Genomic DNA, 19,359 nt, shown 5'->3' with positions numbered 1-19,359 from the left:
AAATCATAATTGCTGTTATTTATTGTGTACCTCCTATGTTTCAGGTGCTGTACTCACTATTTTTTTAAACACATTATCATGTTTGATTCTTCCAACAACCTTGTGATGTTGGTACAATTATCATTATCATTACTTTACATGTGGTAAAACTGAGGTTTAGAGAGGTGAAATCATTTGTGAAAATTGCTCAGCTATTAGAAATTAGACCAGAGATTTGGGCTAGACATGCCGACTCCATGCCTGACTTCTTAGTCACTCTCCTATAATGGCCTATAATAGCAGCTACATAATGTGTGGGCCAAATGACAAAGGAAAACGCAGGTTTCCTTGTCAAAAAACTCTTCAAGTTTCAAGATGGTGGCAACAGAGCATTAAACAAAGTGCAGGGCCCTGTGTAACTGCACAGGATGTATTCATGAAGCCAGTACTGAGCTAGTCAATGTACATCCCCAGCCATAGCAATTGAGGGGCAGATGCTGCAATTTCTTTCATCCTCATTTCAGGATGGCTGGCATCCACTCTAGTTTTGAGTTAGAAAGAAAAGCTGAGATTAGTTCACTGGACTCATTTGACAGAGAAACAAGTCTTAGTGAGGTGCTACTTATAAAGGGAAACATTTTCTTTATGCTACCGTAAAGCTTAAGCATATCCAAGAGGCAGTCCCCTTGGTATTGAAAGGGACCATAACAACTAGAAGTAGACATTTTTTACTATAATCAACAGAACAGGAGTCATCAGTGGTACTTAAAATACAGATACTTCACTTTGGGAGCCCAAGGTGGGCGGATCACGAGGTCAAGACATCGAGACCATCCTGGCCAACATGGTGAAACCCTGTCTCTACTAAAAATACAAAAATTAGCTGGGCGTGGTGGTGCACACCTGTAGTCCCAGCTACTCGGGAGACTGAAGCAGGAGAATCGCTTGAACCCGGGAGGTGGAGGTTGCAGTGAGCCAAGATCGTGCCACTGCACTCCAGCCTGGGTGACAGAGCGAGACTCGGTCTGAAAAAAAAAAAAAAAATACAGATACCTGTCAGGGTCTTAAAGCAAAGAGAATTCCAGGTTTTCCTCGTGATGTTACCTTCATTTGCCTTCATATGCACTTTCTTAAAAATGGGTGATGTGCATCACACTTAAATATATCATTTATCTAGTGTGTTTGGTAGAAAAAAACTTGAGCCCACAGCTTCAGATAATTGTCTCAGGTTGAAATATCCTTCCCTACATTCCTCCCTACCTACATTTCTCTTAGATTTCAGGGTCTGATTGAAATTATGGCTCCTCTGTCTGACCTGTTTGAATTTAACCTAAATCAACACACATTTGTTAAGTAACACTTTGTTCACTGTATAATAGAAAGGTGTAAAACACATCTTCTCATATAGATGACACCCTGCACCACCCCTCGCATTTGACAACTGCTCAGGAAACATTCTTGATTAATTCATTGCTTACCCAATGTCACCTCCTTTTTTACAAAGAGAAGGTAAATTCATTCACGATGATGATGAACTCAGTTAGAAATGCTTACTCCCTTGGACCCTCTTATGGGTAGGAGTAGCCATGTGACCCGGATTGGTGACAAAATTGAAGTCTATAGGGAGGGGCTTCTGGGACTCTATTGTTTATGTCATGAAAAGAGACAGGCTCAGCTACACACTCCCTTTTCTTCTTCTCTTCCCCCTTCTTCCTACACCATTTCTGTACCTGTGTTGCAGGACTTTTCCTCAGCTCAGCTAAAGATGGGATCCTTGTCTGTCCCACGGCCATGAAAATTTAGGTTCACAGACAGTTTGAAGGGTGAGTAAAACAGGGTTTTATTGGATAAAAAGGAAGAAAAGAGGGAAACAGGGACTCTCCACAAGGCCAGAGTCTCCTGCTAGATGTCGTTTGAATCCCAGGTTCCACACAGGAAGAGGAGGGGCCAGGCTCCTCCCTGCTGCAAATGTTGTGAACTTCCTGTGGCTCCACCTCAGTGGGCAGGCTGGTTGGAGTTTCTCCAAGGACCCCCTCCCACCTGGCTGTCTCACCTGCAGTACCCAGCCTGCAACCACGAAGACAAAAACCACAGTCAGGACAGCAGAGCAGGAAACTAGAAGGACCCTGGTTGAAGGACACTCCATGGCTTCCTCAAGTCTCTGCCCTGCTCTGCGAACATGTGGACTTTTTATTCAGCTAGAAAAACTAAAGCCCCATTTGGTGAAGCCTCTGCAGTTGGCTTTTTGTTACATGTAGCCCAAAGTGATCCTAACTGGTACATCGTGGACACCATAGAAAGCCCTATCAGAGGGGAATCTAGAGCCAACGGAACCTAAGGAGAGAAAAGGAGGCGGAGAAGACGAGAAATTGGCTGTGTCACAGAGGCAACTGCACGGCAAAACATCTCTGTACATAAATCGCTGGGCAGAGCCGCCTCTCCTGTCCCTTCTCATTTTTTGTTTACTTACGAGCAGCTGAGCAGCCCAAGCTTTCCCCTACACCGACAGGCACGTCCAAGCCTCTTCCCCCTTCCCTCGGGGGCCTGGAGCACCTGCTTGAAGAGTCAGCCTCCCTTTGAGAATAGTTTAACATATGAATTTGAAACTAGTTGAAGAAGAAACTCAATCCCTGAATCATTAGCCTAAGTATCTGGCATGACAGAATGGGTCTGTTCTAGCAGTGAGAAATGACCTTGACTGTCCTTGGATGGTAAGGGCAGAAAATTGAAAATAAAACTCTTTTGATTTTTAAAAATATAATAAAGTCCTCAAAATAGCTATATCCTTTAAGTCTCTTGATTTATTGAATAATAAAATAAATAGGAAGTACAAGGACTTTACTTTCATAAAAAAAATCTATTCTTCTAAGTATGTAGACCCATATAGCAAACTGGAGCTTGCTTTACTCATTAATTCTATGGTGTGTATGAGTGTTTCCAGGTATTTGCTTTCTTCTCAGGTCATTTAAGATTATTGATTCTTCCTTCTCTAGTGTAGAGCTCAATTCTCCAAAGACTGGTTAGCAAAACATTTTCCAGCTCACGTTGCCATTTAAAAATGATTATGCTCAGTGTCTTCAGCTTAAAGTTTCCCTTCTTGGCTTCCATATGCTAACAGTTTGTACACTTCTCTTTTTTGCTTTCTTTTTTAGGGCGGATTCTACAGTCTTCAGCCCTTTTGCTAACATTCCCTGACTGCTTTCTCCTGGTGGCTCAAACAGCAACAGAGACAACGGCTAAACCAGATAAGCTACAGAGATTTGTTTTTTTCCGTAACCAAAAGTTTCTGGGGACATAAGATCATTGCAAGTAGTCATGTGTAGTCTTTTGGCTCAAATGTAAAATGCTAAGTTACGCATTAGTTGTTGCATAAATTTGCATATTGATATATACAATCCCAACGACTTTAATAGCATCACAGATTAGCAGAGACAGATGCACACAGACACACACAGCCTGACATTCAGAGACTCCCAGGCAGAGACAAACAGCCCAAGGAAAAAGTGGGGATGGCTCACCAGGAGCAAGGACGATTGGAAGGAACACAGGTTTTTAAGGGAAAGATGGAGGGCCTGGGTGGGCAGAGGGTTCTCCCCAGCTCTTGCTTTATGTAACCTTCTGGTCCTAGGCCCCCACTCCCATGCCCTGTCCTTGGAACTTTCCACTTGATCCTGAGCAGAGGGCAGGAGGGATGATTTACGTCGGTCTGGCATGAATCAGAAGATCCTGAAGTACTAGAGTCCCAGAGGAGCATTTAGGCTTGTTTTAAGAAAAGGAGAGGAAGATTCTTAAAGGATGATATTTCTGCTTGTTTGTTTTTTGTTTTGGTCTTTCACTCTTCTATGGCATCCAAATATAGAACTAAGGTCTTGGCTGTCTGCACACCTAGAAGCCTTTGGCACTCTGCCAGCAAGGATCAGGCCCTGAAAGAAGATTCCACACTGGTCTGATTTGCAAACCAAAGCCCCAATTGATTAATTTACTGAGGAAAATAAGCACTTCAGGGTGCCACCACCAGAGAGTCTACGCCCTTCTAGGAACACAGGTGCCTGGGAAAAGTCATTCATAATCAGGACAAACAGCAAGGGATTCTTTAAGGAATATCTTCTATCTGCTTTGAGAGGCTACGTGACACTACCGCCACAATAATTATATATTATACATGCCAAGTAGGCGCAGCTCAGTGCTGGAAACATATTCTTGAATTCTTAGTCTTGGCCTCTCGTGTCTTAAGACTTTATTCCCACCATCTTTTGTTTTTGTGTTTACATTGGATATTGAAACATCAACATTTTTAATATCAAAGAACATCTTTCACTCAATAAACACGTATTGAGTTCTCAATCTAGGCTGAATTCTACAACAGCACTTAGGGACTGCAGTGGAGACAAAGATGGATAAGACACAGGGCCAGGACCTAGAAAACTCACAATGGTGAGGGGAAGATTACACAAATACACGTGGCTGTACCACAGAGGGAAAATTACTTTATATAAATATCCAGAATGTGCTGTAGGGATTCAAAGGATGAGAAATGGAATCTGTTTGACGAGATGGAAGGAGGCTGATTCATAGAGGCAGCATTTAAGCTCAGACATAAAGAATAGCTATAATTGTAGTGAGCAGAAATGTTCAGGTGAGTCAGTAGCAAGGAAGTGAAGGAGAGGGAAGAGAGGAGGAGGGAGAGGGAGGTAGCCCGTGTGGAAGAAGGGGATGGTGTGTAGGCACACCCGATGTTCTGTTCAAATGCATGCCTCATGCTTGGGCTGGAGGTACAGAGGATGTTCAGGAGAATCGTGGGAGTCAGAACCTGTTGGGCCTACGGTGGACAGCCTTGATGCCAGGAGCTTCATTCTAGGGACACTGGGCACTCACAGGGTTTTGCCCAAGAGAAGGCTGTGATCTGAACTCCAGTTCTAGAATATTAATTTAGTCTCAGTATACAGAACGGACTGGAGAGAGGAAAAATAGAGAGTGAGGAGGCCACTGTGGAAGGTGCTATAGGAATTCAAATCAGAAATAATGAGTATCTGCCTGAACCAGGACAGCACAGTAGGAATTAAAAAAAAAAACAGTGGGCCGGGCGCAGTGGCTCATGCCTGTAATCCCAGCACTTTGGGAGCCCGAGGTGGGCGGATCACCTGAGGTTGGAGTTCGAGACCAGCCTGACCAACATGGAGAAACCCCATCTCTACTAAAAACACAAAATTAGCCGGGCGTGGTGGCGCATGTGTGTAATCCCAGCTACTTGGGAGGCTGAGGCAGGAGAATCATTTGAACCTGGGAGGTGGAGGTTGCGGCGAGCCGAGATTGCGCCATTGCACTGCAGCCTGGGCAACAAGAGCGAAACTCCATGTCAAAACAAAAACAAAAACAAAAAACAACAGTGGAGGTGATATAAGAGATAGAGATAGAATCAGTAAGTCTTGGCAATGAGCTGGATGCAGGAGGTACAAGAATGAGTCAAAGACGACTAATAGAAGCTAAGATTTACTGAGGCTGTGCTAAGCACTCTTGAATTAATGCATGTAATATTCTTGAATTAAGCGCTTACATGCATTAATTCATTTGATTCTTCTAATGACTCCATGAAGTAGATACTATTTGTGTCCCCATTTTATAGATGAGCAAACTGAGGCACAGAGATTACATAATTTTTCGGGTTGGCATAGCTAACAGGAGTCAGAATTTCAACCCAGGTCTTTCTCGAGTCATCTGTCATACTGAGTTCCCCACGACTGTGTTCATTCCTACTCCAAGCCTTGCATCATGAAGTTCCTTGGCTGGAATGGATCTTGTCTCTGAATTTATGCTTTCTGGTCTTGACTCACAGAAGCAAAGTGAAAGTAACCATGGTCCTGAAGACAAATCTAAGCACTCAATCGATGTGGGTAGTGTTTTGGAACAAATAGCAGAAAACTCTACCATTTTATTCATAAGGGCAATTTTTAAAAAATTCTATAATGGCAGTTGGTATCATGATTAAGGTTTTCATTTTATTTATTACTTTGTTATGGTAAAACAAAACAAAACAAATCCTGCCTGAATCATCTTCCATGTGTCAGTAGAAAGGCTTTTTCCTATCAGTACCCTCGGTGCTTTGTAAATCTTTTCATAATCAACCTTGTCTTAACTCAATGGCATTGTTCCCTTGGGCTCTGGACTGGGTCTGAGCTGATCTAGGATGATCCAGGATGATTAGAGACCATCTTCATTCCTCCAGCACTGGCCCACGGACTCTCACCAGCTCTAGCCAGTTCTCAGGGTTAGACTCTTGATTTGCCTTTTGTCTTTCTGCTTTCTTTTTCATATGGAAACTACAGCACTAAACATTCTTTGTTAGAATTCAGGTGTTATGAGGAAAATCATAGTGTCGCTTTCTTAAACACATGGTATGCCAGCAGCTTTCAGAGCGACAAAATGCAGCTTTATTGAGTAATTACAGTCTGTCCTCTGCAAGTAAGGAACTCATCTCACCAAAAAACAAAATGCTGGCATTTTCTTTAAACTAAGGAGCTTTTTATGGCTTGCTGGCAACCTATTTCACTGCCCTAATAATTGGAATAGTCACTGCAGTAACAGTCAACTGCTCCCATATTATGAACAAGAGCAGAACAAGCAGGATCAGCTGAAAGAAATCATATGAGTGAATGCCTGTGCGTGCATGTGTGTATGCCTGTGAATATGTCCCAGAAACTGTGTGTGCATGTGTGCATATTGCGTATGTGTGTGTGTGTGCATGTATGCTTGTTTTTAAATTTAAGCCCCAAATAATTCAGTAGTGAAAAATGCCCCACACTGACTGGGCTCACACCTGTAATCCCGGCACTTTGGGAGGCCGAGGCAGGCGGATCACCTGAGGTCAGGAGTTCGAGACCAGCCTGGCCAACATGGAGAAACCCTGTCTGTAATAAAAATACAAACATTAGCTGGACGTGTTGGCATGCGCCTGTAATCCCAGCTACCCGGGAGGCTGAGACAGGAGAGTCTCTTGAACCCAGGAGGTGGTGGTTTCAGTGAGCTGTGATCATGCCACTGCACTCCAGCCTGGGCGACAGAGCAAGGCTCTGTCTCAAAAATAAAAATAAAAAAAGAAAAAAGAAAAATGGCCCACACTACAGAGTAGTAAATTATGAGGTGGCTTTCTTGCTGTGGAACAATGGGCCTCATGATTTTACACCAGACCAATTTTTTTTTTTTTTTGGCAAGAGGAAGTCTTTGTTTAATAAATAACTGTGTATGTAGGGGGTACTACCATCCAGAACACCCTGAAAGGCCACCAGCTTACCTGCACAGAATGTCTCAGAACAGGAAAGGAATGGGGACATCTTGGCCACCTACCACCTCTGACAGGGCACCATTGTCCCATTCTACTTGGTCCCTCATGTTCCCGATGGTCCCTAAAAATGGGTCAGGCTGTGTATCTTTCTTTCTCTTGGAAGCTGAATTATACCAGATTAACATTGAAAAGACCTCTGTTCTTCTAAGTTGGTTTTCTTTTCCTTTTCCCTCATACGACTTTAAATTAGAGTTTCTATGAGTTACCACTTCAAATTGCTTTTCATAAGAAACCAGTCCGAAAGCACGAATTCTTCAAGCACAATAAGAGTTGCATTGGAAGTTTGCTTTCATCCTAATCATCTTGCTTCTTTTTTGTCTAGAGGGTAGGATCAACCTTGGATAGCTCTTACTATCGTTTTCATTCATTTAGCATAGAAATAAAATGTTGATAAGTACCTTTTGAGAGGGAGACATCTTGGAATTAGTTACTTAGTACCATTACGAAGCAGTCTATATGGCTTCTTAATAGATTGATCTTGTCTTTTAGGTCCTGGTATATTTCTCTTCTAGAGCCAGCGGTTTTTAAACTTCATCTTGCATCAGAATCACCTGGGAAACTTTACAAAAACTTGTAATGTCCAGTGATTCAAATTAAATGGGGTAAGGTGGAGCCAGTATTTCTGTACTGTTTAAAAGCTCCTAGGATGATTCCGATGAATCAGAGGAAGACTACAAATCACCATTCCAGACCCTAAACCATTGGCTTTAAAATCACTTTAGATCACCTGCAGCACTTTTTAAAAGTACTATGCTGAGGCCCTACTTAAGACCAAATATATCAGAATATCTGGGAGCAAAGCCAACACATTGAATATTTATTGGAAGTTCTTCAGGTGATTGTAACATACAGCCAAAGCCAAAAATCACTGATCAGTCTAGATTTATGAGTTTATGCCAAACTGCACAACATGGATTTTACTGAAACATCAGTGGCACAAAAGTGGTATAAAAGGTTCCATTACACACCACACAGCAAAGCTTCTTAAATATTCCTTTTTTAACATCTCTGCTTTTTCCAAAGTTCCTTTTACTAAAGATTTATATCTATTCTGTCTCTTTCCCAGAACTCCTTTTTATTTCAGTGTCATCTCAAGCCACGTTTCCCCATAGTGGGGCCCTTTTCCCCATACTGCTTCTCAAATCAAACTCAGCAAAATATTGTTCATTCCTCACTCATACATCAAGAGCCTCAAGGTATCCTTTCAAAATTAGGGATAAATTATTGACGCATTAAGTTTTGGAGATATATAAGACTAGAAGGAAGATGGAATCTCTAGACCAAAACAGAGATAACTTTCAGACAGAGCTAAGAATACCTTGTGACGGAAGAGAATCTCTCATCTATGAAAATTGACAGATTACACAAGGGTGGATTGGCTGTCTAAAAGATGCTCCTTGCATCTGCTTTGTCCTCTCTATTTCCACGATAATCCCCACATCAGACCCTCTTAATCCTTCCATGGACAACTCTTAACAGCTTTCTAGCTAGATTCCCATTACCATACATTTTGGGGTCCTACTCCTATCATTGTGTTAGGCAAGTACAAATCCAAGAGGTTTTTCAGGTTTTATTAAACTTTAATAGAAGTTCCCAAACTTTTTGTGGTCATGGGTCCATTTGAGGGTTTGATAAGAAGTACAGATCCTTTTTTTTATTTTTTATTTTTCTGAGACAGCATCTCACTCCCATCACCCAGGCTGGAGTGCAGAGGCAGGATCAGGGCTCACTGCAGACTCAACTTTCCTGGCTCAGGTGATCCTCCTGTTTCATCCTCCCATCTCAGCCTCCTGAGTAGCTGGGACTACAGGTGTGTGTCACCACACCCAGCTAATTTTTTTTTTTTTTTTTTTTTGAGACAGAGTCTCACTCTGTCACCCAGACTGGAGTGCAGTGGCGCAATCTCTGCTCACTGCAAACTCTGCCTCCCAGGTTCATGCCATTCTCCTGCCTCAGCCTCCCGAATAGCTGGGATTACAGGCGCCCGCCACCATGCCTGGCTAATTTTTTATATTTTTAGTAGAGAAGGGGTTTCACCATGTTAGCCAGGATGGTCTCGATCTCCTGACTTCGTGATCCACTCACCTCGGCCTCCCAAAGTGCTGGGATTACAGGCGTGAGCCACTACACCCGGCCCACACCCAGCTAATTTTTTTACTATTTGTAGAGACAAGGTCTTGCTATGTTTCCCAGGCTGGTCTCAAACTCCTGGACTCAAGTTGTCTGCCCACCTTGGCCTCCCAAATTCCTGGGATTATAGATGTGAGCAACTGCACCCAGCCTCAGATCCTTTTTTTGAACACAGATTCATAAAATTTTGCATAAAATTACAGAGGCTTCTTGGAGCCTACTAACGTACATTGACAACCCTGTGGTCCATGGACTCCACACTGAGAGCCCCTGCAATAAAGCTTGGTTAGAGCAATTGATGTGTAATAAATTTTGACTGTGTTTAAATACGTGGATTAAAAAAAAATTCACAGAAAAGGAAGGTTAGGCAATATCATCACATTGAGAAACACCAATTGCCTGTACCTTTGACTTAATTTGTAAATGTCTACAAAGCTTGAATAAAATCAAGGTAGTTAAACAGTTGAGTTACTTGGGTTACCTTTTATTTGGATTGTAGAATTTTCCACTTACTTCTTGACAGTCATGTGAAGAATGATGATAGTGACATAAAATGATGATAGTGATATAAAATTTGATGTCAGTTTACAAAGCACGTTCACACACACATATATATTTTATGTTTCATTTAATTTACACAAGAAAAATGAGCATTAAAGAAATTAAATGACTTACTCAAGTTGACACAGTAAGGAAATGTTTGAGAGGGGCTAGAACCCTGGAATTCTGGCTCCTAGGCCAGGGCTAATTTTTCCCATCCAGTTGTTTATTCTCTTCTCACTTCCCAGTGTCTCAAGTTTGTAAACTCCCGATCCAGCCAGACTTTCACTGTTATAATTCAGGTATTCATTCATTCGTTCATTTATTCATTCCATTACCATTACCATTCATTCATTGAATCATTCAATAACCTTTAATGTGTCACTTGGGCAAGGCAGGCAGTGTGAATCAATTTAAGGAACTAGGTAATATGTAATAATAAATTGCCACAGGGTTTTAAGGCAGGCCTGCCTACATCCAGCAAAAAGGCTCAGGGAAATCTTTATGGAGGAGGTGACATTCTATCTTACATGCAAATAAGTGGAAAGATGTTAATAGATAAACCTAGGAAAGAAGGTAGCAGTGCAGACAATGAGGAAAATGTGAGAAAAGGCACAGCGGTGAGTATCACAGGGGAATGGGTCATGTCCTTTTTGACGGGTGTGGTCTTTAGGGAGTCCTGGGCAACAGGCCGGAGTGGAGGTAAGGCTGGCAGGCCACATGGGGGCCTGTGCTCTCACTTTGAGGGGTAATGGGGTCACAGAGGGCTAGAAACGGGGAGAAATGCCCCTGTGCTAAGCTTTGAGATATTTTGATGGTAGTGTAAAATATGAGTTAGGTAGGGAAGATCCTTTTTGGCAGTCTTAACCTTGTTCTGTATTCATTCAACATCTTGTCTGAGTTTACTTCTTAAGGCTAGACATTAAAAGTAAATATTTATCCAGAGTTTTAAAAACTGAGGTCTACGGTTCTTTGCAAAGTCCATTTACAGGGTTGAAGAGGTCAATAGCTCTCCTAAAATTATAATACTATGTTGTGTATGGATTTCTGTCTTTTTCTCAAATTGAGGAGAAGGGCCATAGCTTCCATCAGCTTCTCTAAAGGGTCTGTGATCCACAAAAGAATTGCTGCTTAAAGCTTAATGGAAGTAGGAGAACAATTTTGAAATTGCCCTATGTAAGGATGGCGCTATGGGTTAAGATGTGTGTAACAGTCATTGGAATAGGCTGTATTACTAATCCTACTAAATTTTTTTCTTTTTTTTTTTTGTCAGAGATCATGGAGTATTAAGATGAATGGATCTAGAAATATTGCTTCTCTAACAGAAGTTGAAACCAGGAATTCTATTACATAGTGTGCTGTTCAAGATCACCTGGATGGTTCTGGAACTAAGGAAAATCCTTACAGAAATACACAGACCATATCTTGTCTTGTATTGCCATCATTAAAAAAAACCCACAAAATTCACAGTTAAAAATTACTGATAGAGAACAGTAATAGTTGGTAATTAGTGTTATCGAGTTACTATTAGTTATATTGTTGGATTTTTTTAAAGCATCAAGCTATTAGTTTCTGTATCTGATTATAAAAACATAAGTTTCCAAAGTTTTTAAATCTCTTTAAAATTATTTCCATAACTCACATCAATAATTTTTTTTTCTGTAATTAGTTTGCTGTTAAAATAACCATTGGGTCATCAGCCTTTTCTATCTCTACTCATAACTACATTATTGTTGAATGACATTTAAAACTTTTTTTTCTTTAAAAATAAACATATCATGGCTGGGCACAGTGGCTTATGTCTGTAATCCCAGCACTTTGGGAGGCCGAGGCAGGAGGATCACTTGAGCCTCAGGAGTCAAGACCAGCCTGGGAAATATAATGAGACCTTGTCTCTATTAAAAAAAAAAATTAGCTAGGCATGTGCACCCGTAGCCCCAGCTACTCAGTGGGCTGAGGCCACAGGATCTCTTGAGTCCAGTAGTTTAAGGTTATAATGAGCTATAATTGCACCACTGCACTCCAGCCTGGGCAACAGAGTGAGAACCTGACTCATAAATAAATAAGTGAAAAATAAACATGCCCATCTAATCTCGTTCCAGCTGAAGCAAGGGCTGGGTTCTGCCATTGACCCACTCACTTAGGATGCATGTAAAGTTTCAGATTCTGAATTAAAAAATTGAAAACTTCAAAGCTACCATCAATAGAAATTGGAAGATGCTAACTGTGGCCAAGGATAAACAGAGTCTGTTTCCTTGTCTAAGAAGAGATTTCACAAGGAAGCAACCTAATCTTACCAAGGAGCTCCTGGGGAAACAGGCAGGGCCAGTGAATATTGTCATATAATCCATTAACTCAAACTCAATGAAAGATAGATTCTGGTTCCAAGTTTCTGGATATTTTGAGGTTAATAAGAAAAGGTGCTACAGCCTGGCCAACATGGTGAAGCTCCATCTCTACCAAAAAATACAAAAAAAATTAGCTGGGTGTGGTGGCATGCACCTGTAATCCCAGCTACTCAGGAGGCTGAGGCATGAGAATCTTTTGAACCCAGGAGGCGGAGGTTGCAGTGAGCCAAGATTGCGCCATTGCATTCCAGCCTGTATGTGAGTGAGACTTTGTCTCAAAAAAGAAAAAGAAAAAAGAAAAAAGAAAAGGTGCTCTCTCCCCCATACCCTTTTCCTTTCTTTCTCCAAACTGCCACCCCAAAACTGGCCTTTCTAGTAATAAACCTGCCCTGGCAAGACACCTAGCTGGAGGGAGGAGGTGTGCTGAGATCTGGCAACAACACAAAGCTAACTAACTCTCAGGAGGACTGAACCAGAGACACTGGCCTCACTAGCAATTTACTGTAATGACTCTGCTCAACTATTCTCACAGGAGGAAAAGATCAAAAAATATCATGGTGGTCAGATTGTGACTAATATCAAAGCAATTTCAAAAGACCCAACTTATGCCACAGGGAAAAAAAAATGTGAAAGGGCTGGTAACAGAATGTTTTTCTTGAAGGAGAAACATCTCTATATTTAAAAATCCATTGGTGGTTCATTCTAGTTGGTGAGGTTGATCTCTAGACATAGTTGGGATGTGCTTAGAGTGACATATAGGAAGAGTTCAACTGCTCTGCATAAGCAATGCCCAGGAAGTTGGGGGTTCTCAGTGAGTAAGTGTGGAGCAGAAGAAGAAAGCTAAGTAGAGGAGCCAGGGTCAGATGAAGGGAGGCTGGGCTTGAATAGACGAGGAGGTGAGGAGGGGATCATGATTGGAGGACTTTTGAGTCTGCTTAACATTCAGCTTTAAGCCATCAGTTCCATAGCAACCCGGCATACTGCTCTTACTTCCTATCCCCTAATTAGTCTTGAAGCTTCCATCAACGTTGACTACCAGATAACCTTTTTATGAATAATGTTTTGGAAAAATTATATGGACATGGAAATATTAATATGTTTATTCCTATATTTTCTCCTTTTCTTCATGGAAACTGGTAGCAGTCATTGCAATGACTGAACTCGGAGATTTGGGAAGTACTGAATGTTATGCGGTCAGTGGCTCTTCCTATCTTTGGGTGACATTCAGCCATTAGAAATAAGTAAGGGAGGGAAAGAGAAAGCAGAGGCCAGCAAAGGCGGAAAATAGGTAGGAGCTCACCATTATTGAGGACCTGGATTCAGCCTTATGGCAGAGTCTGAAGAGATGGCAGGACCACAATGGACATGTAGGAAAAGACAGTGGATTTGGGGGTGGGTGGATAAGAGCATGATGAATTTAAAGTGACAGGATTTCTCCAAATGTATCGAGCAGTTGAGATTTTAGGCCTCGAGCCCAGGAGAAAGATCTGGACTGGAGACTCACTTTGAGAATCATTACCATATTGTTCAGTGTTTCTCAAAGACCATCTGTGTACATTGCACCCACCCCCAAAACCCTGGCAGCCAACTCCTCTGGGAATGGGCCCCAGATCGTCATTTTAATCCTACTTTTCAGATGACTCTTAAGCACACTGGAGTCTGATCACTAAAACTAGATGCTAATTGATGCAATGGGAGAGGGTGATAGAGTTCTGAGAAAATATATAGTGAGAAGACGGCCAAAGGAAAAGACAAAGGAGAGATTACATAGGAAAATGAATGAAATTATTCATTGGATTGGCATTGAGGTTGATCATTGAAGATCTCAAGAAGGACATATTCAATAAGGTGAACACTGGAATGTGAAGTTTATGTGGTTTACATAGGTTTACATGTGTGTGTGTGTGTTTGTGTGTGAATTAGCCAGGCCATCTTACTAAGTTGAAACACCTGGCCTTCAGTCCTAGAGTTTCACTAGTTGGCCATGTGACCCTCATCCACAAGACATTCCATATCTGCCCCATCCTGACTCCGTACACCAACCTGGAGTAGTTGTGCAAGCCATCACTGGAGTCTCAGAAAAGCAGGCACTGGCTCTTAGATTTAGTCTCTGCCTTCTGGCCCTTCAAGGACAACGTGGTTTGTACCTTTGCCTTTTCTCTCTCACAGTCCTGTGGGACATGATTTTCTTCTCTACCTTTGACTTTGTGTCTTGCAATGATGATAAGAGTCACCTGGCCCTGGACTGCTGAGAGGTAGCATGGGGCCTCCTCTTATCTGACCCTGGATTAGAGGAGAGGAAGATCAGCCCCTTCCATCTGGGGATCTGTTCATCTGGAAAGTCATGGGTTGGACTAGGTCAGTGGATTCCAAATAGGTTACTATAGAGTTCAAGCATACTGCTGGAGGGTTTGGTTTCAAATGAAGCAGTTTTACTTGTTTGAGTTCATCTACATTTTCTTGTAAAAGTAACAGGGGTTTCTATTATTAAAATCAAGTATGAAAAGCCAGTGAACTTGTTGATGTCTAGAGCTTGGTTTTACTTCCAGAATTTTTTATCAAACTCACATTGAGGATTTTGGGAATACAATTTTTTTCTTCTAACCCTGAGTCTAGCTCTTATGATGTTTCCTTCTGCATACTGTATTAGATACACATTTTAGAGATTTTGAATGATGATAACACTAGTATTTTTAGACCTTAATTAGAACACATTTGATATGGCTTGGCTCTGTGTCCTCACCTGAATCTCATCTCAGATTGTAATCCCCATGTGCCTAGGGAGGGACCTTATGGGAGGTGATTGGATTATGGGGGTGGTTTCCCCCGTGATGTTCTTGTCATAGTGAGGGAGTGCTCATGAGATCTGATGGTTTAAAAGTGGCAGTTTCCCTTGTGCTTTCTCTCTCACCTGCTGCCCTGGAAGACGTGCCTTGCTTTCCCTTCATCTTCCACCATGATTGTAAGTTTTCTGAGGCCTCCCCAGCCATGTGGAACTGTGAGTCAATTGAACCTCCTTTCTTTATAAATTACCCAGTCTCAGGTAGCATCTTTATAGCAGCATGAGAATGGACTAATGCAACATTCATTAACTATTACATTTTCTTTTGTATAATATTTTATTAAAATAATGCTAACCTTTAACATGCAAGTAATTGCAAAAGTTTTGAAAAACAAGAGAAAGAAAAAACCTATATTGTTTATGGTCCTACAGCTTTTAACAGTTTGAAATGCTTCCTTACATTATATGTGTGTGTACACATGCACACAAGTTGAAAATAATGTACGTATATTAGTTCATTTTCATGCTGCCGATAAAGACATACCCGAAACTTGGTAATTTATAAAGGAAAAGAGGTTTAATGGACTCACAGTTCCACGTGGCTCTGGAGACCTCATGATCATGGCTGAAGGCAAAAGGCACATCTTACATGGTGACAGGCAAAGAGAGAATAAGAATCAAGTGAAGGGGTTTCCTCTTATAAAATCATCAGATTTCGTGAGACTTATTCACTACCACAAGGACAGTATGGGGGAAACTGCCCCCATGATTCAATTATCTCCCACCAGGTCCCTCCCACAACATGTGGGAATTGTCGGAGCTATAATTCAAGATGATATTTGGGTGGGGACATGACCAAACCAAATCATTCTGCCTCTGACCCCTCCTAAATGTTATGTTCTCACATTTCAAAGCCAATCATGCCTTCCCAATAGTCCCCCAAAGTCTTAATTCATTTCAGCATTAACTCAAAAGTCCATAGTCCAAAGTCTCATCTGAGACAAGGGAAGTCCTTCTGCCTATGAGTCTGTAACATCAAAAGCAAGTTAGTTACTTCCTAGATACAATGGGGGTACAGGTATTGAGTAAATACAGTTATTCCAAATTGGAGAAAGTGGCCAAAACATAGCGGCTCCAGGTCACACGCAAGTGGAATATATAGACTAGGCTCTTTAGCTCCTAACTTTGCCATTCTCTGCCAAACACCATTCTATTTGAAAGCTCTCTCTCTCTCGCTCTCTTTGCCATAATTTTCCATATCTTTTCTATAAATAATCAAGGTTTGAGAAATTCTAAAATATATGCAGACAGAAGACCCTATAAAAGAGGGGAAGAGGTAGTGACTCTATTCATCACCACTTGGTTGGTCTTTCTCTTATCCTTAGTATTTATATCTATTGACTGGAAGTAATAGTAAAAATATCTATAGAGTTATTGTGAAATTAAATGAGGTGGCATCAATTAAGTGAGCACAGAGTCTGTGGGGAGATAGTATTTGGGGCCCTAATTCTTTATTTCTTCAAGTGTTCATGTTCTTTATTCTGTAACTGTGTGGTGCCCTCCCTCTCTGCTTCTGGGCTCAGCCATGCAACTTACTTTGCCCAGTGGGCTGTTAGCAAACATGATGCAAATAGAGGCTTGTAAAGGACCTGCATATTGAGACTTGCTCTTGCTCTTGCCTTCTGACACTGCCACGAACGCCTGCCTGGGCTAGCCTGCTGGAAGATGAGAATCATGTGACCCAGCTAACAGCTGACAACTAACTCATCTCCAGATGTGTGAGCGGGCCAAGCCGAGATGAGAAAAATCCTGCAACTGAACCCAATCTAAATCACTAATCTACAGAGTGTTGAGAGCTAAATACATGTTTATTGTTTTAAGCCACTGAGTTTTGGGGTAGTTGGATTCTCAGCATCATTGTGTCAGTAAATAACTTATACAAAATGACATGTAAGAAGTGCTTAAAAATTGTTTATATGGCAGCCCTTTGGTGATTCAACTTTATTTTTTATTTAAATAACAGAGACAGTTCCCTGTTTATCCACTCTTCCCTTCCTTTGTAGCTTACTCTTTAAAGTGTCCAATCGAGGCACACTGTTACATTTAATATGCTTATTTGTCAGTATAACATATCTCAAATTGCTTCTCTCCTGTTTCTTGTCTCTTTAATGGCAAAAAAATTTTAGTCACATTTAGTCTATTGGCTGTTAGCATTTTATTTGGATCTCAGAGGGGATATAAGAGAAATAGGAGACAGAACCTTCCTTTAATAACACAAATCCAAAGGATAACAGCTAATTTCAGTGCTATGTGGTATATGTAGAAGTGTTAAGAGGCAACCAGGGAATTCAATGAGTTAAAGTCAAGTAGGTTCAGTTGGTGATATTTTAAACACAGTATTAAGACTTTCCTATGGAAAAAATAGAATGACAGAATAAATGACCAACCTATGTCATTATGTCTGGGCTGTGAAATGGGAATGTGACAAATGAATGCTCCATCTTGACACTGTTTTTCAATTCCTACTTTGGCAAATAGTTCCATAGCCACTGGATGCCACTCATGATGCAGACAGTGGTGTTAGAGATGAGTTCACTATGACATATTTAGTGTCTTGAGAGGATGGCATGGAGGCCAAAGCAACTCCATCTTAGATTTCTAATCTGGCATGTTGGCTTCTCATTAACTCCAGTTCTGGGAAAGCCTCTAAAATTTCCAGTTTATCTACTGTTCCTTCTGAGAGCAGGTACTTACCATAAATCTTGCCCTTAGGTCCAACAACGTTGCTGTTATCATACTTCAATTGTCCTACACATCCCTTCTGAATCACTCCTCCCCTATGGTGCATAAGCCCTTGGTCTGTGGGATAATGGCACAGGACCCACCATCTTGTTTTCCCACCACCCGAGACACAGACATGGCTTCTGTTCCTAAGTCCCTACTAAATGTTTCTTTCTGAGAAACTGGATATGTCAGCCTCTTTCTTTGGCCTCTTGGCTCCCTGGGAGGCCAAATTATTAAATTATACACAATTTACTGGGCTGAATGGTGCTGCCCCTGAAGCACTGAATTTCAATGGCTCTGAAAGTGAAGATAAGGCCTTGGCCCTCTCCCATTCAGCTGTTGATTAAGAGCTGGTTCTAGTTTCTGGTGTGACCTTTAACAGTAAGTCATGAATTACAATTCCCTAGTGAATGTATTCTCAAGGCATCCTGCCAACTATTATTTCTGAACAGAGCATGTTCACAGACAACAAGCAAAATCATTACGCCAAGACTAATGCCAACTGGCTCAGTGGTCATTTGAAGAAAGGGCAGATCAAGAATTCCTTGTTTCCCCAGCAGCCCTCTTTGCCTCTTGTGTTGTGACACATGCACTTTGTTTCTTCTCATTCATCTCCATTACAGCCTCAACAGCCCAAATTTACATTCTGAAAAAAAATACAGAAGGTCTATGCTTCTGGCCCGATGTATGAGGAAGACAGGCAGCTTCCTAGCTGGAGTAAACTTAAGGGTTGACTGCCTCCCCTAATCAGCACTTGGGTTTTAGAGATGCAAGAAGTATTGGTTCTAGAAGAAGCCTTAAAATAATCTCTTCTGAATATTTTCAGATGACTGTTGCTCAGAATCAGACAAAATCATAGGTGGATATGAAAATGAATAAAACAGAGAGAACCAGAGCAGCTCTGGCTGAAAAGCAGGGTGGTGGGTGGTAGGTGCTTGTGGAGAAGAGTTCCTTGTGTCTGCAGGGAGCAGAGTTAGAAAATCAGTCATCTTACCAAGGTCCATTTTTAGAGATTCAGAGAAGTGAAAGTACTGATCTGCAAACAGACAGGTCAACAGAAACTCGAACTCACACATCCCGACTTTCAGTGTAGTGCTCTTTCCAGATTTTCAAATAACTGGTGGGAAATACGGGTAAATGTGCATTATCAATGGAGGCATTTGAAGAGACAGACAAACTCTTTTAGAATGCAGTAGCACTATAATGGAATCTGAGTAATTTGCATACTATTTTATAAGAAAATGTTAAAACTTCTCTTTTTTTAGTATGTTAATAATGAAAGTTTTTTTAATGCAAGTTAGAAATTAAAATAAAAATTTTAAATATTTCCTTGTTCCAATCCCAAGCTCCTCCCTAGAGGTCACTGCCAGTAGTTTGAGTCACCCATTTATCTACGAACACATACCCACACCTACATCTAGATATACGATTATGTTGTTTGTTGCTAATTACAAAAG

General features: G+C 41.3%; 2 annotated features.

The window, feature by feature from the left end:
* Positions 14,518–14,708: a transcriptional cis regulatory region, noted in NCBI's record as "candidate enhancer chr6.836 targeted for multiplex CRISPR interference". NCBI's record gives its function as "positively regulates MYLIP gene expression with high confidence in K562 cells {active_cell/tissue: K562}" and the evidence as "EXISTENCE:mutant phenotype evidence [ECO:0000015][PMID:30612741]".
* Positions 18,941–19,000: a silencer, noted in NCBI's record as "silent region_16954". NCBI's record gives its function as "represses an Ori minimal core promoter by ATAC-STARR-seq in GM12878 lymphoblastoid cells {active_cell/tissue: GM12878}" and the evidence as "EXISTENCE:reporter gene assay evidence [ECO:0000049][PMID:35858748]".

The sequence above is a fragment of the Homo sapiens genome, chromosome 6 (assembly GCF_000001405.40).
Source record: "Homo sapiens chromosome 6, GRCh38.p14 Primary Assembly".
In the NCBI taxonomy this organism is placed as follows: Eukaryota; Metazoa; Chordata; class Mammalia; order Primates; family Hominidae; genus Homo; species Homo sapiens.
This window is presented reverse-complemented; position numbering and strand designations above follow the sequence as displayed.